Source organism: Homo sapiens, chromosome 7 (genome assembly GCF_000001405.40).
Source record: "Homo sapiens chromosome 7, GRCh38.p14 Primary Assembly".
In the NCBI taxonomy this organism is placed as follows: Eukaryota; Metazoa; Chordata; class Mammalia; order Primates; family Hominidae; genus Homo; species Homo sapiens.
In genome coordinates, this window is record NC_000007.14 from 78,360,847 (window position 1) to 78,384,642 (window position 23,796).

General features: G+C 34.9%; 1 protein-coding gene across 15 annotated transcripts in view; it reads right to left on the reverse strand.

The window, feature by feature from the left end:
- The window catches only part of MAGI2 (membrane associated guanylate kinase, WW and PDZ domain containing 2), a 1,436,613-nt gene that overhangs the window by 343,792 nt on the left and 1,069,025 nt on the right, over nucleotides 1-23,796 (reverse strand). For all 15 annotated transcript variants that reach the window (XM_047421093.1, XM_017012845.3, NM_001301128.2 and 12 more), the window contains one exon: nucleotides 8,310-8,367. In XM_047421093.1, the coding sequence (XP_047277049.1) occupies nucleotides 8,310-8,367 (58 nt within the window). The remainder of the gene's footprint in view (nucleotides 1-8,309; nucleotides 8,368-23,796) is intronic.

A 23,796-nucleotide genomic window follows, 5' to 3' on the forward strand; every position in this document is an offset into this window, starting at 1 on the left:
GTCCTATAAAAATGATGGAGTAGAAGGAAGGAGCATGGTCCTTCTTTGGCAGCAGAGAACATGGTGTCTCCAGCTGTGAGCATTCCTGCCCTCTCTTCCTGGGACGTCAAGGGGTCAGGGTCTGTGTACTGCACACTGTTACCTTCTGCCAGGAAGTTTCCCTGCTTCTGTACTACCCTGTGTGCTATTGTGCTATTTGTCTATGCTTAGCCTCTCCAGAAGTGCCTAAACAAGGGCCTGATTTGTTAGATTCATAAAAAATGCTTGGGCCAGGCGTGGTGGCTCACTCCTGTAATCCTAGCACTTTGGGAGGCTGAGGCGGGTGGATCACGAGGTCAGGAGTTCAAGACCAGCCCGGCCAAGATGGTGAAACCCCGTTTCTACTAAAAATACAAAAATTAGCCGGGTGTGGTGGCAGGTGCCTGTAATCCCAGCTACTTGGGGGGCTGAGGCAGAGAACTGCTTGAAACCGGGAGGCGGAGCTTGCAGTGAGCCAAGATCGTGCCACTGCACTCCAGCCTGGGCGACAGAGTGAGACTCCATCTCAAAAAAAAAAAAAAGCTTGAAGACAAATACAACCCCCCTCCCCCCCACAAAATGTGTTTATGTTGCAGTTATCTTTATTTACAAATATATTCTCAAAGAAATGTTGGTGTGAGAGGAATGGTTCCTTTGCTTTTTATTATTGGCTTTAGGACAAAGAAAATAATGTTTGAGAGTTATAAAAATTGTTTGTAAAAAAGAACATTTATATACATAACTGATGTCAAGGTGAATAATTCATTGTTATTTGTAAAAGTCCATCTGCAATTAAACCAATTTAAACTTCTGGGTGCCTAAAACATTCTCTATGTGGAACCAGAAGATTTGTTAAGTAAGGTTGTTGATAAGATGTAAGAGTCGCTAATAAAAGTGTATTTAATTACAGAGTCAAGTTTTCATCCCTTCAGTTTAAGGGTGGCGGAGTATGAGTAGGATAGAGAGCAAATGTCGATTCTGCTAGAATGAGCCAGCAATGGTGAAGTGTCTCCCAGCAGGAAAAACGACCTCTAACTTCAGAAACAGGGAGATGAAGCACCTCCAGATCTTGCCTGGATGGTAGTGGTGAGAAGAGAGACTGGACGGGAGACTTCTTTTCATGTGAAAGGATCGTGGTATAAAAACATTTGAGGGGGCTGGGTTCGGTGGCTCATGTCTGTAATCCCAGCACTTTGGGAGGCTGAGGCGGGTGGATCACTTGAGGTCAGGAGTTTGAGACCAGCCTGGACAACATGGTGAAGCCCCACCTCTACTAAAAATACAAAAATTAACCGAGTGTGGTAGCGCACACCTGTAATCCCAGCTACTCGGGAGGCTGTGGCACGAGAATCGCTTGAACCTGGGAGGCGGAGGTTGCAGTAAGCCGAGATTGCACCACTGTACTCCAGCCTGGGAGACAGAGCGAGACTCTGTTTCAATAAATAAGTAAATAAGTAAGTAAGTTTGAGGGACTCTGTCATGCAAAGTAAAATGGTAGTTGAAAAGAAGTATTGGGAAAGAAATCAAGAGCCAGTTGAAGTTTTCATGAGTGAGTAGTACAGAGGGTCGGGGAGGTAAGTGGGAATTATCAACTATGAACTATCAGAAAAGTTAAGAGCATGTGTGTGGAGCTAGGAGACCCCCTAACTTACTGCTGGGAATCTTAGCGACTCATGTCTCGTGAGGCCTGATGACTGGTTTTATCCAGGCTAGGAGAAATGATGCCCCAAATTATAAAATCAGCCTGAGTCAGCTAGAAGGACGTAAAACGTTAAACCAGTCATAAGTTAAGGTCAAATAAGTTAATAAAAAAACTAGCTCTAGTTCAGTTAGAGGTAGGACACTCAATATTTGTTTTGATATCCATGCTCCTTTTGTTCAACTATAAAGTGGAGTTTACTGATTTATGCTTGTTGAATAGAGGAAAATATGTTGTAAAGTATAAAAATTGAACAAACTTATTAACATAAAAATATAGCTACTCTACTGAGAGGCTGTTTTTTTGTTCTAAATGGCATCAGCATCGCTTCGACCTTATCAGTCATATTCCCTTAGAAAACTCAGTTAACTCCTTAGAGATTTGATCTTCTCCTTTGTACATGTTGTGACTGTCATCCGGGATGATGGATGTAAAAGCATATTAAAATAAAAGTTAAAATAAAAGTAGAAGTTAAAATAATGCCTTACACATTGGTATATCTACTATTATTATAACAAATTCCCAGCTATATGAGATGATACATATTCTAGATAATTATGACAATATAACCTCCTTATGAATGACTGAAGGCTCAACGCCTTTGGAAGCCATTTTCTGCAGCTACGGAATTGTTAATAATTCTGAGGAGGCCGGCCGCGGTGGCTCACACCTGTAATCCCAGCACTTTGCGAGGCCGAGGTGGGCGGATCACGAGGTCAGGAGATTGAGACCATCCTGGTTAACACGGTGAAACCCCATCTCTACTAAAAATACAAAAAATTAGCAGGGCGCGGTGGCGGGTGCCTGTAGTCCCAGCTACTCGGGACGCTGAGGCAGGAGAATGGCGCGAACCCGGGAGGCGGAGCCTGTGGTGAGCTGAGATCGCGCCACTGCACTCCAGCCTCGGTGACAGACCAAGACTCCATCTCGAAAATAATAATAATAATGATAATAATAATAATAATAATAATTCTGAAGAAACACTGTTTTTATTCATTGTGGCATACTCTGGCCATGGGATTATATGTTTCTTTCCAAATCAAAGTTTCTCTTAGAATTGTTCACTTTTTGAAGTATACTGTAATCATGAAAGTATTGAAAAAGCAAGTAATGCCAAAAGGAGAAGCTTTCTACATATTATTGGTATATACAAGATTAAAAATTACTAACATTTATTGAACAGTTACTGAACATACCTATGTTAAGTGCTAAATACCAACTCTGGAATAAGACCGCTTAGGTTCAAATTCTGGCTCTATTATATAGTACTTATAAAAATATCTATAGCTCAGTTTCCTTACCTATAAAATAGGGATAATAAAACAGACTTTCTAGAGTTTCTGGAAAGATTAAATCAGCTAGTACATGTAAATCACTTAGAATAATACTTGGCATGCACGAAGTGCACAATAAGCGTTCCTCCCCTCCCCTCCCCTTCCTCATTTCTTTCTCGTCTTTTCCTCCTCCTCCTCCCTCCTCCTTCTTCTCTATAATCTGCCTACTCAAGATCTCACAGCTGGCGAGCTACAGGGCTAGCACACTGTGCAACTCTGCAGCCCATACTTTTGGCCACTAAGTGGCCAAAATTGATGTGTGCAAATTCTGTTTATAAGATTTAGAGCTTTCCTTAGTGAGATTTTAAAAGGGTATTCTTTTATGTTTATTTCTAATTGGAAATGTTTCATATGTTTACTGACTTTTTATAAACTTTAAAGTTAGGAACTTTTTTTCCTAGAAAATTTAGAAAGCTACTCAAAGCCATGAAGCATTATTAAGATAAGATATTGAGTTCAAGTTCTCTCTAACCACTTCCCAACTTGCTACCTCATGATGGATACTCACCACTAACCATGAAATGAATGCAATTTTCCATTTACATTAAATGTTACATTCAAGATATTATGCAGTATTTTTCATACTTTCTGGAATTGCATACAAATAATGTTTTATAGTAGCAGATGTGTGACATCACATGAAAAACTTGTAAAACCTTTACATGAAAATCACACCTGCCAGTCTCCACTATCATTTTAACTACAGTTATATGGTTTGCTTCTCTGTCTCTGCCAGAGAAGGCAGCTTTGCATGAAAGCTGTCCCAGCAAATCGTGTCTTCTGGACCAGCAGCTAGTTAAGCAAATTGTGTAACTGCCATTAAAACCAAAATGTACCCTGCAGACATAATTTCACTAAAGAGGAGAGAGAACCACATTTGTACAAAAGTCACAGCTGTTCAACTCTCCATTTTGCATATTGTTATTAAAAAATTTTCCTATCTTTATGAACAGTGACAGTTACATTCCTAGTTAGCAATTTTAGGACTTCTTAATACGTAGTGCTAAGTGCTGCACCATCACGGATTTGGTGTCTGTCAGGAAAAATTGGGCTAAGTTCTTTCTGCTGCTACATAGAGTGAGAACTTGGTCTGTTTACACAGACAGCAGATAAAATTTAAAAAGATGTTGAGTAGGGCCCATTGTTTTCTAAAATAGCTGTGTGTTGCCTCTACTAATCCAAATGAGGGCCAACATTTCTATGTTAAGGTCCAAACAATAAGGATTCCCTTTCTTTCACATCTTGCTCTCGGTGGCCATGTTGTCCAGGGCTACTCCAAAGTGGTGGGTAATGGAGCTGGTGGCTCAGAATGCCTGGGTCAGCAGCCTGTCTCATGAGGCTCTGCATGCAGCATGACCTCACATTGTTGGGCATTCTGCTGTAGAACGGTACGACAGGGAGGCCAGGGAGGAGATGTTCTTGAGGAATCCCTCATTCTTCTCCAGGGATGGGTCCCAAAGCCTTGTTCAGACCATTATGGGTTATAAATGCGAAATTTATAGCAGGCATTTTGGGTAAGAGTTTGGAGTCTGGGCTCTGCAGTCAAACTGCCTGGGTCCAAATTTCAGCCCCTCATCTCAATAATGTGTGGTTCTGGATAAGTTACTTAACTTCTTTAGCCAGGGTTTCCTCATCTGTAAACTTAAGACAATTTAGCTCATTATCACTATAGAGAGAATTATAAATGTGATAGAAACTGTTAAGCACTGAGCCCAGTTAATGGCACATACTAAGCACTCAATAAAGGTTAACAATTTCCATGACATGATTATGACCTTTCTGGTTCTTGAATATATTAAACCTACAATCTTAAAATTGAATTTGCAGGGGATAGAACAGTGGCATAGTAGGGTAAAGTCAGTTATAGTGGTCAAAGCCTGCTCAATCCAGGTTTCTCATTTTCTAGCTGTTTAAATTCTCTTCTGCTATTGATTGTTGCAATTGCTATTTGCTTGTCTGTGGCTGAGAGGAAAATGTGTGTTTATGCAACTGTGCTAGAGACATTACACTGATTTCAATCTGATGTCACAGAGCCCAACCTGTAACTTCTGTTCCCAGTTGTTGGTCTATCTGAAGAGAGGTGCTAACTGCTAAATTGGACCTCTTGTGTCCATGCACGTAAGCTTTTTTTGCTACTGGGTTGGAAGGTGGAATCTTTTTCATATCTTGTAAAGAGTACCTCCAATTGTATGAATGGGTGTGTAATTAAACATAAGAATGATAGCTGTACAGAGAATCCACTGCTCATTATCACTAATGGCATTAGTAAATCAACATTTTCTTGACTATATATTAACACAAAAGATATTGCTTGTTATATTAACTAAATATTAATATTACCAATTAAAAATATAATTCCTTAAGATATTAATGCTATCACTATAATTATGAATGGAATCTTAACCTAGACAGTTTTTATTTTATATTTATAATACATATACCGAAAATGTGGAGATAGCAACTTAACTTAGACTAGACATTTACTAATCTTTTATGGTAAGAAATTAGTTGACTTTCTTCTTCCAACAAAAACACTCTACATACTGAAAGTGATGAATAACCTCTATGTTTACATATGTATTCTTATAGTTTCCATAAAGAAGGCTACTATTCAGAACCAATATATACCTTGTGAAAATAATAGTGCAATAGAGATGAGATACAGAATTAAAACAAACCATGTAAATAAGTGTATTCCAATTAAAATATTTGACAAGATTTTTGGGATGATGGAAGATATCCCCCATCTCAAGTAATGTATACATCATATACAATAACAGGTATTTTAGTTATGTTTATGAAGTTTTTCAAGAAGATGTTTCCAATAAATATTGGGATAATATTCTACTTAACATTGTCTTTAAGTTTGAATTATCTGTTTATTTGTCTCAGTTTTCTGTGTGGCCTGCTACACCCACACACCTAATTACTGACACTGGTCAACTCTATAAAATCATGTAATGGGGACAAGACCATGACAAATAATAGAACTGAATGTAACGGGAAGAAAATTAAACTATTTTGACCCACTGTGACCTGTATATACAACCTCCCGATCACTTAAAATCTAAAACTATTAAACATGTCAGCCTGATCTAATTATAGAACACATGACTGACTACATTCTATATAATACTCTGACAATGGCTGTGTTACATGGAAAATGAAGTTGAGAAATGTACACAGAAGTATAATGTAGGCAAACACACACACACACACACACACACACAAATTTGAAGTACAAAGATAAGAAAAATTTTCGTTTAGGGTTACAGCCAGTGTCCAATTTCATAATTAGTTATAAAGGATCTACCAGCAGCAGATCTTCACTTGCAGAACACACATCTCGATGATCAAGAAGGGATGAAGCATAGCTTTCTGACACAGGGGTGTCTTGCCTCTCTGTTAGATGATTAGGACAGAGAAGAAAGGTTTTAGTTAAATCCTCTCCTGCATTGGAAGTTAGCTTGAAAGGAGCTGAAGATATGAAAAAACAACCGGAAGAATTAAAATAGGGCAGGGGCCAGCAAACTACGACCTGCAGGCAAGATTTGACCAGCTGCCTGTTTTTGTAAATAAAGTTTTATTGGAACGTAGCTGATGTTGCTGATGGTTGCTTTCAAGCTACAACAGCAGAGCTAAGCAGTTATAACAGAGGCCGTATTGTCCTCCACCCCAAATATTTGCTATCTGGGTTTTTATGGATTTTGCCAACATATGGACTAAGGAGTGGTTCTTTTTCAATGATTCTGTGAGGAAATATACTAAAGATAAGATGTGATATGCCTCACACTCAGTTCTCTTTCCTTACATGGAATTTCCTTGAATATCGGATGTAGTAGGCTTAGACACAGTACAGTTTGATTCAGTGAATTAAGACAAGCTAGCATTTATTTGAAATATTTAGTGTTATATTTATTTAGGGACCGTAACTATGTTATTTAAAACATGTAGGTACTTTAATTCATCAGCAATCTAGTGGGACACAGAGGCCTTATAACTGTTTATAAATGATGTCCCTTTATTTTTGCAGTTAGAGATACCTCTATGTATTTATCTTACTTTTTTTGTATTTGTTCAGTGTCCATGTGACACCATACATTAGATACTATGCTAGCAGATTGCATGTGGAAAATGAGCTGAATTCACCTTGACTGTGAATCTGGAAATGACTGTGGAGCCAAAATTGGGGCTTTTCCAAATGAAAATGATGGGTGAATGTAGTTAAGACAAGTGCTCCTGAGGGAGATACTCAAGGGCAGAGAGCACACAGATTTTACTTATCTGTACATTTTCAGTGCCAAGAATGGCATGACACCTAATAAAAGCTCAGTAACCGTTTTTGAATATTGTTACAAAAACAATTTAGCACTAAAGCCAACCTGTAACTCTTGACCATCTGTAACTATTAAACAGAATGTGGTTGGAAAAAACAAAGTAGGATCTTGATGAACAATGTGAAAGTCTTTTGTTTTTCAACCTCTGGATTTCTTGGGTAGTATTTCCCATAAGGAATATGTAGGCTTTGTTATTCACCCAAATAACTTTAGGAACATTATACGATAGATAAGAATGAAAAACAATCGTCTGTTTGGAGAGAGTTCTAGAAAAATAAATCACATATTTAACTTTTGAAAATTATGAATATTACTTGATTTCCCAAGAAAAATATGTGTATATAATTTAACCCTGAATAGTGTATTTGTTCCGAATAAAAGGATGCATGGGGGGATAATTCATACCATGACAAATTATTGCAATGTAACCTCCAATAGGTAACATAAAAGTCCAATGTACCGAAAGAATACTGTTGATTTGGAATGAGGTCCCAAAAAAGAAAAAAAATCTAAATTTTATTTTATTTTTCAACTAAAAAATATGTCTGATTCATTTAATTGACTTCGAAATCTGTTTTAATAGAACATCTCATTTGCACAACCAGTCAGCTCCCAACATTTTGATTGCAAAATGAAAGGCATTTACTTTGATATCTTTAATTATCACTCATTTAGAGGACAGTGTGAAACACACTTTTTCAATTGGTGTTTTAGAATCGTTGAGTCAAAGGAAAGGAATGACAAATTAGCCAGCTGGAGAGGAAAGAAACAGCTAGCTAGTGCTGCTAGTCTTGGTGGATACTTCAAAGTAAGATGAAAGGGAAATGAAGGGGCTGTGAGCCACACATGCTCAATAAATAAAATACTAACATAATTTCACAACATATTAATAACAAGTTAATATCACACTTAGAGACTTACTCAACATAATAAGTGCCATAAATGGGATCATCGATTTTTTCCCAGCCATATGGAAGCTCTGAAAAATAAAGAGTTCTTTCAGTAAATAAAGAATATCACAATTTCTAATAAAAAGTAATATAATTTAATTGTTCATGGATTGCAGAAATGGTCTGCCAAAGTGGAACAAAGCATTCAGAGTCAGCAGCAAATTTCAGAACATATTATAGAAACTATAAGAGGCACTGACTTGAAAACTGGCAGTTAAAACACAGAGCTCTCTTCTCTGCAGATACACTGCTCGGTCTAGCCATTTGTCTCATGCCAAATAGTAGGATGGCATGTCATCACGTTATCACCATTTAGTGCAATATAGAAGGCAAATCGCTTTCCTGAAAGTGTATATGTTTCTCTTATTTATTTGTATTGCTAAAGGAGGATTTCAGGACAAAGACCACATTTTCAAAATATATTTCTGAGAACAGCAAATTGTTTCTGATGACTGAAACAAAGACATTATAAATTCTCAATTGATATCCCACTATTTGAGATGGTAGGCTTGCTGTTACTCCACATGGGTCAGAATTTGAATGCTGCCAATACACTCTTTGGGCATATTTTAAAAATAAGGTATAAAATTGTGAACATGCTTTCCTTGATATTATAGTTCATATTTTCAATTCTCCATAGCTAATTTTAATTCACACACACACACATTAAAAAAAATCAACAATACTATAAATCCTATTACAGGCAAAAACATGCTGTCTGAAAACTAGGCTTTGCTTCATAATATTGTTTTCCAAATACACCAAGGTTTTATAATTATTAACTCCTACAAATATGAAGAATGCTGTATTTTTCTTGGTAGATATGAATTTTTACATATATAGAAATTGAAACCTAAGATATATTGACAAGTTTAAATATATTTCAGTGAAGTTTAAAAAGTTTTATTATTATAGCAATAATATGTATCACTGTAGACAAAGCACAGTTATCAAAAGAAAACTGGAATTACCAGCAATCCTGCCACCCAAAAATAACCAGTGTTAATATTTAGGTGAATATCCTTCAAATAATTTTCTATGCATATGTGTGCACATACTTTTAAAAGAAATTACCACATACAGTGCATATTACTTTTATAGCCTTATATTTCTACTTAACAGAATATCAAGGATGTCATTCAATGTGAATGTGTGTTACCGCACAATATCATTTTCAAGGTGGCAACAGTAGTCGGCAGCACAGCTAGAAGCTGTGTAATTCATCATTTTTCTATTTTTGAATATTTGGGACTTTCTAGTTTTTACCTGTCATGTGTCATCTGTATTGGACCTACTAAAATGTAAATCTTTTATCATATTTCTATAATATAGTATGGAAAAATTCCTAGATGTGAAATTTTGGATCAAAGGGCATGCATCCTTTTATTGTTTTTGACATATATTACCAGATTTCTACCTTCCCAACTCATAAAAAAGTACTAATTTATAATCTCACTGAGAGTGTATGAGTGATTTTGTTTCTCTGTACCATCAAATTAAATACAGATCCACAATTCCTCATCCAAAACTTTTAGGAACATATATGTTTTAGAATTTAGAATTTTTGCAATTTTAGAAAGTTAACACAGTGCAAGTGCTTTCTCTTTCATAACACTCTAAGTAGAGTTGGGGAAAGCAGTTTATAATTGAACATATGAGTATTTCTGCAGCCAAAGATATGATTCATACTAAGAAGGATAATTTAAACTTACAACACCAAATTTTAGAGTACCTTAAGAAATCTTTCTTTCAGAAGGATAATAAGAGTAAACCTTTACTGAGTATTGTTTGTGGTTTGAGTACTGATGGATTTTCTAGGTACTAACTCATTTTATTATGCCAGCAACTCAGGACTCAAAAACCCTGTACTCTGGTTCCAGTAAACTTACCCAATTTAAATATCAATTCAGAAACTCTGTTTAACAAGGCATAAACACCACTTAATTTAGATTAAGAAGAATAACTCTCCAGATGGTTTTCACCAAATCCCCCAAGCTATTGGCAAATTCATCTAGTAAAAAGGAATTCATTTGACAAGTATCTATTGAGTGCCTTTTATAAACAGCTCATTCAAAACCCTTTTTTATAAGCAGCTCATCCAGAAGTAAAAGAATATACAGAGGACAGCAATTAATATTATGGATATTTATTATTAATTTATTAATATGGTTCGATACATGGATATGTATTTATAACAGGTTTAACATCATCTTATGAATGCAACAATATATAAAACAATCATGTTCAATAAACATAAAGAGTAAAAGCCTAACGTAGTTAACTTATGAATACAGCCCTACTTCTTAATGCCAATGCCATATGGAAGCATTTCATGGTCAAAGTTTGTACAATTATCTTTTATAAAGTAAATGATTATTTCATTTTAATCTGAGTAAATTACTAGTTCTAAGCAATATATCCCAGAAGGGCAGAGTTCATTGATTCTTTTCTTTGTCAGATTTACAATGCCAAATTTCTTGGGTACAATTTATTATATATTATACTGTCCCACTTGTTATCATGCAGTCCTCATCAGAATTTAGGGAGAATCTACTTTATTTTTCATAAGATATCAACATGTTTTGTGTGTTCGTTTGGTTGTTTCAGATTTCCAAAGTAAACTATTATTTCATGCTGAAACAAAATTATATGTCATACACATTTGTGTTTTAAGAACTGTTAGAGGTCCTAGACTCACACTTTGAGGCAAAATTATACACTAGTTCTAACTTTCTGTTAGAAAGAGCACCATTTGTTTCATTTTAAATATTGTCAAGGAATTGATGGAGGAACCTTACAGGAAACCAATAGCAGATACACGCATTGCTTCATTTGGAGCAGAATGGATGTAAAAATATACAACTAATGTTTAAAAAGTTGTATGTATATGTATATATGCATGTGTACCTGTGTGTATATGTTGGCACATGTGTGTTTGTGTGTATTCTTTTATTGACATTTTGCTTCAAAAACAAAGATTTAACCTAGTATGCTAATGAAAAAACACAACTTTCACAAGTTTTTCTTCACTTGTAAAAAGACAAGTCATCAAAAAAACTTCTTAACATTATACACTGAAGAGTACACATCTAGATGATGAAAAATGAAAAAGTTAAGAATTATCTTTCACTGTGAAAATTAAGCTATTTGGACTTGGATTAGTTTAAAAAAACAAAACAACTGCTGCTTCTTTAAATTAAGCTAACAGATGAGAAAAAGAATTTCCAACATCGCACTATTTGTCCAATCAGGCAAGCATGTAGCTTGGAGCTTTTGAGTCCTAGGTTATTTAGAATACTGTATTCAACAATACTTGACAAATCTGTGGATGATTAAGGTAACACTGATGAAAGAATAACATACATGATGCAACAGGAAAAAATAAACACTTGAGATCAGCAAGGTTAATGTTGCATTAAGAACTGTTTTAATTGAGATTTTCTTCAGGCCATGGAACCATGGGGCAAATTCAGTGATTAAATATTCCTACCATGAAAAAGTCTAGATTAATTTGTAGTCAATAATATCAGCTTGGAAAACTGGAATAAAAACAAAAGATTAAACACGCACCTAGCTTTGCCTGGATTCTGGCATAGTCAGCATGCTATATTTTTTAAATTTAATTGTGCTTCCCAAATATTATTTCATTTATTTATTTAATCTTTAGTCAGCTACACTTTCATTACAGAAAACAGAGACCCCTTTATGGTAGCTCAGTAAGAAGATATCCACATTCTGATATTATGCACTGAGAAGGGCACAGCTTTACCTCTGTAGTATACTTGTCAAAAATAAATAACCTTATGTGTGTGTATTTTTTAACAGTCGGGGTTCCGTTGTGTTGCCCAAGCTGAACTCAAACTTCTGGGCTCAAGGAATCCTCTCCCCTCAGCCTTCTGAGTACCTGGAACCACAGTGCGCATCACTGTGCCCGGCCAGGAATGCCATTTTGATCATGAGAAACATATGACAAACTCAAGTGGACAGATATTCAATAAAGTAGCTGACAAGTACCCTTAGAAAGGGTCAAGGTCATGAAAGAGAAAAACTGACTGGGATATTACCACAGATGAAGGAGAATATGGAGACATGATGACTAAATGCACTGTGGGATAATAAATTGGATCTTGAACCAGAAGAAGGACATTAGTGGAGCAACTGGCAAAATTCACATAAGATTTGTAGATTAGGTAATCGTTTATACGGATGTTAATTTCCTGGGTTCAATGTACTTATGAAAGATGTAAATGTTAGGGGCAGCTAAGTGGGAGTTATGGGGAGCCACTTTGTAGTATTTTTGTAATTTTTTAGAAGTCTAAAATAGCATCAAAACGAAAACATGGAAAAATCTAGGTCACTTACTCTTACTATTGGAGGGCTCCTACTCACACTTTATTTTAAAAACCTTTTCTTTCCAACTTTTACTTGAGTTTCAGTGGGGTGCATGTGCAGGTGTCTTATCTGGGTATATTTCATGATGCTGAGGTTTGGGGTATGAATGATCCCATCACCCAGGTACTGAGCATAGTAGCACAGAGCAGTTTTTCAACTCTTTTCCCCCTCCTTCCCTTCACCTTCTAGTAGTCCCAAGTGTCTATTGTTGCCATCTTTATGTTCATGAATATCCAGTGTTTAGCTCCCACTTATAAGTGAGAACATGCAATATTTGATTTTCTCTTCCTGCATTAATTTGCTTAGGATAATGCCCTCCAGCTGCATCCATGTTGCTGCAAAGGACATGATTTTGTTATTTTGTGTGGCTGCATAGTATTCCATGGTGCATATATACCACATTTTCTTTATCCAATCCACCATTGTTGGACACCTAGGTTGATTCCATGTCTCTGCTATTGTAAAAAGTGCTACAGCAAAAATATGTGAGTGCGTGTGTCTTTTGGTAAAATGATTTGTTTTCTTTTGGGTGTATACCCTGTAACAGGATTGCTTACTCACCTAGTAGTTCTATTCCAAGTTCTTTGAGAAACTGTCAAACTGCTTTCCATGTAAGTGTTCCCCTTTCTCTGCAGCTTCACCAACATCTGTTGTTTTCTGACTTTTTATTAATGGCCATTCTGACTGGTGTAGGATGGTATCCTTTTGTGGTTTGAGTTGTGTTTCTCTGATGATTAGTGATATGGAATATCTTTATATGCTTGTTGGCCACTTGTATGTCTTCTTTTGTGGGGTGTCTGATCATGTCTTTTGCCCATTTTTAAATAAAGTTATTTGTTTTTTGCTTCTTCAATTAAGTTTCTTATGGATTTTGGGTATTAGATTTTTGTCAGATAAATAGTTTGCAAATATTTTCTCCTATTCTGTAGATCTTTTTACTCTGTTGATAGTTCCTTTTGCTGTGCAGAAGCTCTTTAGTTTAACTGGGTCCCACTTGTCAATTTTTGTTTTTGTTGCAATTGCTTTTGAGAACTTGAAGTTGGTTTGCTAGTATTTTGTTGAGGATTTTTGCATCTATGTTCATCAGGGATATTGGCCTGTAGCTTTCTTTTTTCATTGTGTCTTGCCAGGTTTTGGTATCATGGTCACACTATATATTAATGTGAAATCAGATACACAGAACACTGGATTCATTTTGATAGAACTGAAATTTAAATAAAATGAGAATGTAGGATTTTTGCACTTATATTCTTCTTTTACATTGTGTTGATTTTTTTTTTTGAGACAGAGTCTCGCTCTGTCACCCAGGCTGGAGGACAGTGGCGCAATCTTGGCTCACTGCAACCTTTACCTCCTGGGTTCAAGCAATTCTTGTTCCTCAGCCTCCTGAGTAGCTGGGATTACAAGCGTACACCACTACACCTGGCTATTTTTTTTTGTATTTTTAGTAGAGATGGGGTTGCACCATGTTGGCAAGGCTGGTCTCCAACTCCTGACCTCAGGTTATCCACCTGCCTTGGCCTCCCAAAGTGCTGGGATTACATGGGTGCACCACCATTCCCAGGCTTCTGTTGATGTCTTTCAATAGGTATATTCAAGAGAATGACTTTTAATTTTGCTATCTTACCTTTTATTTATTTTTTGTTGTCTTTCTGCTCCCTAGAAAAACTGGGTAAATACAACATTCATGTTTAAATGCAGCTGCATCCTGGGTCCTAGAAGTCACAGATTCAGTAACAGGAGTGTTAAATCTAGAGTCAGGCATTGTTCCTTTCTTGGGAGGCGGTGTCTTGTATGGGCCACAAAGCATTGGTTATGTAAATTCATGTAAGGTTGTATGGAGGTCTATTCTGGTGGGAAGACCAGAATGGGCCTCCTTTTACAGAAAGGCAGCCCAATTTAGGAATCATGCAATGTACTAAGATATCAGAGACAGAAGCAGAAACCAAAAACCAGAAACCATATCCTTCAACCCTATATTATTTTATGTTGACTAGCCTTTTTAAAAAAAAAACAAAATTTGAGGTTCTTGTTTGATTGTTTTAGAGGTAATGACTGTACAAAAGAAAATAAGGAACATAAAAAATTCCCATAGGTTAAGTAATGTAGTGTATAGTGTATTATATGGTAATAGCTACTTATTACAAAATCTTTTCCTCTAATATTTTAGATTTTTGCTATATACTTGTATACAAACTGGGGAATATAACTAAATTTTCTTGTAAAAGTTATACAGCTTTTGCTCCTAGTTGGTCTTTAGGAGTTTGAGGAATCCTTAATATAAGTGAGTTTAAAATATGAAATATGTTTTTAGAATTAACAAGAAAAAGGAGGAAGAGAAAGATCATTGTGCAAGGATAAAATATAGAATAGATGACTTTTTGCTAACAAAAGGTATTATATCTTTGTCTCTTTTTTCCTTTATTCAAAAATGCATTTGATACTATAAAAGTAAATCCTGAATATATTCTTTTTTTTTAAAAGCTAAATCCATACATTAATGAAAGCTAACCACAGTCCCATTACCTCATGTACAGGTAAAGCTGGGGGTGTAACTTTTCAGACCTTTTTCCATGTATCAAGGTTCCAGTTTGCTCCTTTTTACCAGAAATCTTTATTCCATTCAGTCAGGAAAATAAACAACTAAACCAAAACCAAAGAACAAATTAAAAAACCTAAAACTGAATATAGAAAATGTTGCTCCTTTATGTTCCGCTCTCTTTCATCTTTCTCAGATATTGCCTACATGGGAGCACAAACCCAGTCAATATCATGGAAATGTAGGCTATGAAGTCTTTATTTATGAACTCTGGGTATAGGAGATTTATTATTTTACAGTGGAAAGAAAAACTAGCTGAGCTGTATTCTACAGTGATGATATGTAATTCATATTATCAAGTAGAGTTAACCTGAGTACTTAATTCCACCATATTATAATAAAAAATTAAAATACTGACCATGATTTTATGGGCTGGTTGTTGATGAAAGATGTGATTGCAGAGAAAATTTCAAATAAATTTATTCATTAATATATCTTACCAAATTTAATAGAAAATTGAAACAATTTTCTTGGCAGCTATTGATGTATGAAAAAATATATAGTCAATAGTATTTTGGGGATTCAGAATACTATCTGGAGAAAAGCCATGAACTTTTGCAACACTAACTTAAATATGACATCTATGTATTTGAGATGGTGACAAGAAGCGGTGGCAGAAAAGCATGGCACTATAAAGGATGTTGTCTGGTAAAGACTTAGCAAGAGTCGTCCTTGGTTTAAGTTTGCAAGCGGCATTACAAGGTCAAAACATGATGAACCTAGTAGGTTTTTGTCTTTATATTTCTAGTAATCTGTAGAAAGGGCTGGCTACAAAGAAAGATTTGGGAAGCAACTATATATGGAGGACTTCAAAATATGCATCTCCAGCTTCAACTTCTAGAAGCCTGTGTTAATCTACCCATCCAACTATTTATCATCATCATTATCCATTTGAAAATGCTTATGTAAACATCCTGGACTCTATTATAGTGTAAAGGCTGATATATAGATTTTAACCTCTCTACTTACCCCTTAAAAACAGTAAATATCTACTAAGAGAGAAATAAAGCCACCCATAACCTACACCTACAACATTATGAGGAGAAACAAAATAGTATGAACTTCAAAAGTTATATATAAGTAGGGATGTGAATGCTCCAATCCAGTGCAGCCAGCTAGTGCCAGAGTGGAGACTGTGCAGAAAGGAGGGTAGGGTGTAGCAGGTGTGAGGTAAGGTGGGAAAACAGAAAAAATAATGCTCAGAAAGGTAAATTCCCATCCCGAGTGAAGAAATGTTTCTAGCAAACCTGCTTGATTAGAACACAAGTATGAAGAATTGAAAGAAAGGGGGTTGACAGTGAGCAGAATAACATTCTTGGGAAGGCCCAGCTTCTGAAGAAGAGGGGGATGATGTTAGTGGGAGAGGGGGCTGTTCCTTGGAGACTTGGCTATGAAGGAAAAAAGTATGAGGTGAATATCAAATATCTGCAGATAAGTTCATAAGACACACCAACTACTCTGCAAAAAATAATAATAATAATAAAAAATAAAAAATAAAAATAAAAAAGGCATCCACTGAGGAATCTGTACTTCATGAAAGCAACAGAAGGGGGTGCTCATGAACTAAAAAATGTAGTAATCCACCAAGTCCTTTACTTTTGCTTACATGAAACTGTTATCGCTGGTCTAGGAACAAAAGAAATATCAAACTAAACAAAAAAAAAGAGCAGACTATTTATAGAAAGTTACTATAAGAAAATAATCAGAAAATGATAGCCAAAACAATTCAGCTAATGAAAATTTCTCTCAAGAGAAAACAAAAACAAAATTGCAAACAAGAAAGTTGTAATAAAACCTAGAGATATTTTGAAACAAATACTTATAAATAAAAACACCACTTTGAATCACATATTTAAAAGCTTTGAACATTAATGGACAAAGAACAGACAGATAGTAAAAGATAGTTGACAAAAATGATGAAATAAAATTTAAAAAAATCTGAAATGACCAAATTACAAACTGCCAAAGAGAAAATAGAGTGAACCTAAAATATAAGGACTATTGAGGAAAGCCATGACAATAGCCAAGAGAATGTAAATGAAATAAACAAAAAGGTAAAAAGAATCAGAGAGGTCAATAATATAGAAGGTAGGTAGAGATAATCCAGCATATGCATAATTGGAATACATAAAGAAGAAGAAAATAGAATAGAACTAATACATAAAACTGTGATCCAAGAAAAATTTCCAGAAATAAAATAACTATATCTATATATTGAAAAGTGTTGTCATATAGCCGGAAAAATTGTCCCCAGTCAATTCCAAAATACATACCAGTAAGACATTAGACTTTAAAAGGTAGAGAAAACATGGCTAAAAGATAAGCTCCTTACAATGGAAAAATCAAATTAACATTAAATCTCAGGAAGAACGAACACATCTAGAAAACAGTGAAGCAGCATTTTAAAGACTCTCAAAGAAAGTGTGAGCTAAGAATTTTATATCCAGCCAAATTGTACTTCAAGTATTCATTGTGCAAATACACACACCCCCCACCATATAAACAGTTTATTCTACCCAAGATCCCTTCCTGACACATACCTACTTAATTAAACCAAGCTACTTCGACCAAGAGATATTTTGAGGACAGGACTAATGGTAATCATTCAACACATTTAATTGTAGATCTAAGCTTATATGAAAGGTGGGGACAAAGATAGAATAATAATATGTAAATGTCTTATATTGAGACAATATAGAAGTAATATAATTTAAAAAGAGAGGAGAGGGAAAAAAAGTACAATGGCCAATGAGCTCACGTACTATTGCTTAGGCAACAGGTGAGAGTCAATGAATATTATTTAAAATTGACAATTGAATAAGGGCCTCATAGAAGTTACCAGTACAAAGACAAACATTAGAACACAATTAAAAGCCATCCTAAGTACCAGGGACTTATAGAAGTTATCAGTACAAAGACAAACATTAGAACACAAATAAAAACCATCCTAAATACAGAAATAAATAAAAAAGAATAAATAAAGTAGGGCACATAGAGAAATAAACAGTCATATTATAATACGGGCAATAAATAAAATATGATAGAGTTCAAACCAAACATAGAATTGAATGTAATTTATCTTTCTTATTAAGATTTTCTATCTGGCTTATAAAGAAAAACCTGACTCCATCCTGTAAAGATGACACACATTTAAAGAAAGTGACTCAGAGAGCTAAAAATAAAGTTTGGGCAAAGATAGGCCTGACAAGAAAAATAAAACAGAGTTTACAGTCTTCCTATTAGATGGAAGAATTCAAGTCAAAAGCTTTAAATATGACAAGAAATCCCACTTTATAACAATAAAGGTCACAATTCAGAGTGCTCTACAACAGTTATCAATATTTGTGTACCAAATAATATAAACCACCTTCACAAAACAGTAACTACAGGAGCTGTGAGGAAAAACACACTAATAAGAAGCACTTTGACTATTTTCAGTCTAAGACAGATAAAGTTGACAAAATTACAGATATGAAAGAACTAAATATCATAACTAGGCAGATCTTGTGGCTCTTACTCCCTTTCTTTCCATCCATCTTTCTCTTTCCAATTTCATACTACAATAATAGAAAATACACATCCTTCTCAAATATGCATGGAACACTCGCCAAAATTGTTAGATTACAAAAAATTCTTAAGTTCCATGAAGCAGAAATAGTGCAAACAATAATCCTGACCATAATGCAATAAAATGTAGATGTTAGTGTCAAAATTATGATCAAAGAAAATTTCATCTAGAAATTAAGAATTTGAAATAACTCTTGGTCCAAAGAGGAAATGTTAACTGAAATTGCATATTTTCTAAAATGAATGAGGTAAAATATTAAATAAAAAATCTGTAGCACACAATTAAAACAGTGACCAGAAGAAATTTTATAATATATACACATAGGAGAATGGAAATAATAAAAGTAAATTCAAAATTTAAAAAGCTATAAAAAGAACAACAAAGGAACCTCTAGGGACAACACACACACACACACACACACACGAGGAAAACAAATAATAAAAGCAAAAAAATTGTACAAAATAGACTATTTCTTTTTTTAAAAAAGCAAAATAAACACTAGCTAGCTTAAGATTAAAAAGAGTTAAGTCATATATAACAAAGCAAGAAGTACCAAGAAGGAAGCAATAGTAAAAATAGCCAAGATTTGGAAACAACCTTAAGTGTCTATCAACAGATGAATGAGTAAAGAAGATGTGCTATATATATACAATGGAGTACTATTCAACCATAATAAGGAATGAGATCCTGTCATTTGCAATGACATGGACAAAACTAGAGGGCATTATAGTAAGTGAAACAAGCCAGGCACAGAAAGACAAATGTCACATGTTCTCACCCAGCTGTGGGAGCTAAAACTTGAAACAACCGAACTCATGAATATATAGAGTAGAATGATGGTTACCAGAGGCTGGTAAGGGTAGCAGAGGAAGGGGGGATAGTTAAAGGGTACAAAAATATAGTTAGATAGAATGAATAAGATTTAGTGTTTGATTGCACAACAGGGAGACTATAGTCAACAATATTTTATTGTACATTTAAAAATAACCAAAAGAATATAATTAAAATGCTTGTAACACAGACACTTGAAGGGTTGGATATCCCGTTTATCCTCACGAGATTATTATGCATTGCACGCCGATATTAAAATATCTCATGTATCCCATAAATATATGCACACACTGTGTATCCACAAAAATAAAAATAAAGTAATACCTGGCACAAATATATGCTAACAAAATTTTAAAACCTAAAATGGGCAATTTCTTAGGAAAATATAATTGATGGAAATGAGCCCCATCTTTCTAGCTTAATTAGAAAGATTTTTGGTCAATTTACCATAGTAATCTTCAAGTATAAAAGAACAAATGAAACAAAATGAGGCTAGGTACAGTGGCTCACACCTGTAATCTCAGCATTTTGGGAAGCTGAGGCTGGCGGACCACTTGAGGTCAGGAGTTTGAGACCAGCCTGGCCAACATGGCGAAACCTTGTCTCTACTAAAAATACAAAAATTAGCTGGCCGTTGTGGCGCGCATCTGTAATCTCAGCTACTCGGGAGGCTGAGGCAAGAGAATGGCTTTAACTCAGGAAGGAGAAATTGCAGTGAGTTGAGATCGCGCCACTGCACTCCAACCTGGGTGACATATAAGACTCTGTCTCAATTAAAAGAAAAGAAAAGAAAAGAAACAACATGAGTACTAGGGGTAAATTCCTTTATAATCCAAGTATGAGGAAAGGTTTTCTTACTCTGATTCAAGCTCGACAAATTTAACTACATAAAAACAGAAAAGAATATCTTCTATAGCTCAAAATACCATAACTAATACTAAAAGATAACCGATGAACTGGGAGAAAATATTTGTAACATATCAGTGATAAAGAGCTACTCTCCTTAATAAAGAACTTTTTTAAATGGAAGGGAAAAAAACCTAACCACCTAATAGAGGAATATGCAAAAGCCAGGAATAGAGAGTTCACAAAAAGTATATGCAAATGACCCTTAAATGGGTAAAGATGTTCTACCTCCTTCATTATAGAAGAAATGCAAATTAACACTATATTGAGACATCATTCTCTAACAGACACAAAAATTCAAAAGCTTGACAACACACTCTTAGACAAGGTTGTGGGGAAACTGTCCCCTCATACCTTACTGGTGGATGGACAATGTGGTACAACCTCTAGGAGGAGAATTTGGCAGTAGCTAACATAACCAGATAAATTTTACCCTTTGACTCAAAAATCTCTCCTCTGAGAAATTTCTCTACAGTTTTATCTTCAACAATACTTTTTAAGCAAACAAACAAAGTTATTCAATGCGTCATTATTTTAATAGCAAATCATGGAAACAATCTAAATACCCAACCAGAGATGACTGGTTAAATGTACATGATATGTGCAGACAGTACAGAACTATACAGCTGTAAAATCTGTGAAGAAAGTCTCTATGATCTGATATGTGGTTATATGCAGATCATATTGTTAAACAAAAACATTCAAATGTTCGTTTTTTTTAAAAAAACACAGGAAGAAGAGCCACAAACTAAAGAAACTACTTAACTATAAGAGGTGGTATGAACAGACGAGTGGGAGAGATCAGAAAGGGAATGAGACTTCTCTGAGTATATCTTTTTCATATACATTAATACTCATGCTCTCTTATTCAAAAAAAAAATGTAAAATAACTTGAAATCTAATACAAACAATAACAAATGAGCTTACATGTGTACAAAATTGCTAACCAGTCAAAAAAATTAAGTCAAATCTTGAAGAAATTAGAGATTCTAGGACTAGGGTTTCATCGTACAGCAACTCAAAAGGTAAAAGCATTAAAAACTCATTGAGGTTCAAAAGAGAAATAATCATATTTATTTGTGCAAACTTATGGCATACACAAGAAATTTTGTTACACGTATATAATGCATAGTGATCAAGTCAGGGTATTAGGGTGTCTACCACCCTAGTACAATACAATTTTAAGTACAGTCGCCGTACTCTATCGAACACTGAATTTATTCCTTCTATCTTATTGTACTTTTGCACCCTTTAACCCACTTTTCTTCAGCCTCCCCTCAACTTCCACTCACCTTTCATAGTCTTTTATCTCTCTTTCCATTCTCTACCTCTATATGATCACATTTTTTAGCTCCCACATATAACTGAGGACATATGATATTTGTCTTTTTGTGCTGGCTTACTCCACGTAAGATAATGACCTCAAGTTCCATCCATGTTGCTGGAAATGACATGATTTGACTTTTTTATTTATGATTGAATATTATTCTACTGTGTATATATACCACGTTTTCTGTATCAGTTCATCTGTTAATGAACACTTAGGTTTATTTCATATCTTTGCTATTTTGAATAGTGCTGCAATAAACACATGAGTGTAGGTATCTCTTTGATATATTGATTTCTTTTGCTTTGAGTAGATATCCAATAGTGGGATTGCTGAATTAAACGGTGATTCTATTTTCAGTTTTTCTGGGAAATCTCCATACTGTTTTTCATAGTGGCTGTATTGAATTACATTGCCACCAACAGTGTACAACAGTTCCCTTTTCTCTGCATCCTCACCAACATCTGGTATTTTTTTTGTCTTTTGAATAGTAACCATTCTCACTGGGTAAGATGATATCTCACTGTGGTTTTTATACGCATTTCTCTGACGATTAGTGATACTGATTATTTTTTACATATCTGTTAGTGTTTGTATGTCTTCTTTTGAGAACTGTCTATTCATATCATTTGCCCACTTTTTAATGGGATTAGTTGTTTTTTCCTGTTTGATTTATTTGTATATTCTGGATATTGGTACCATGTTGGATGAATGATTTGCAAATATTTTCTTCCATTCAACATGCTGTCTTTCCACTCTGCTGCTTGTTTTCTTTGCTGTGCAGAAATTTTTAGTTTAACATAGTTCACTTTTTCTTTTGTTTTTGTTCTCTGTGCTTTTGAGGTCTTAGTCATAAATTCTTTTCTTAGACCAGTGTCCAAGAGAGTTTCCCCTAGGTTTCCTTTTAATATCTTTATGGTTTTGGGTCTTATGTTTAGGTCATTCATCCATTTGAGTTGATTTTTGTATATAGTGAGAGAGAGGGATCCAGTTTCATTCTTCTGCACACGACAATTTTCCCAGCACTATGTATTGAAGAGGGTGTCCTTTTCCCACCATAAGTTCTTGTTGGCTTTGTTGAATATCAGCTAGCTGTAAATATGTGGCTTTATTTCTGGATTCTCCATTCTGTTATATTGGTCTATGTATCCATTTTTATACCAATACCATGTTGTTTTGGTTACCATACCCTTGTAATATATTTTGAAGTCAGGTAAAGTGATGACCCCAGCTTTGTTATTTTTGCTCAGAATTGCTTTGGCTATTTGTGCTCTTTTTTTTTGGTTCCATATGAAATTTAGGATTTTTTCTAATTCTATGAAGAATGACATTAGTATTTTGATAGGGATTGCCCTGAATCTGTAGATTGGTTTGGACAATGTAGTCATTTTACCAATGGCATTACCTAACATAGCTTTCATAATGTAACATATTTTGTGAGACTTTTTCAAGAAATATTTATTGATAACCTACTATGAGCTAAGCACTGTGCTGGGCCCGAGGTTAGAGTGACAAGTCACAAGATCCATGGATCAGATAGTTTCAGGCAGAGCCAGCCAATAAACAAATAATCTCACTAATTATTAATTCATTACAATTTATAATATATGCTACTAGGAGAAGTACATGTATATTTTACTCTACCTAAACCCTCAGGTAATTTATAAACAGCTTGGAATCATAGGCTATTACATGTCATAGGCATAATTCATCACAATTGATTTAAATAATCCTAATGCAATAAATCAGCAACACATTTATCAATTGAATGTTTTGGGGTGAATTTACACAACAGAACTTATTTTTCTAGTGAAGCAGCCTTTTCAAATTTAATG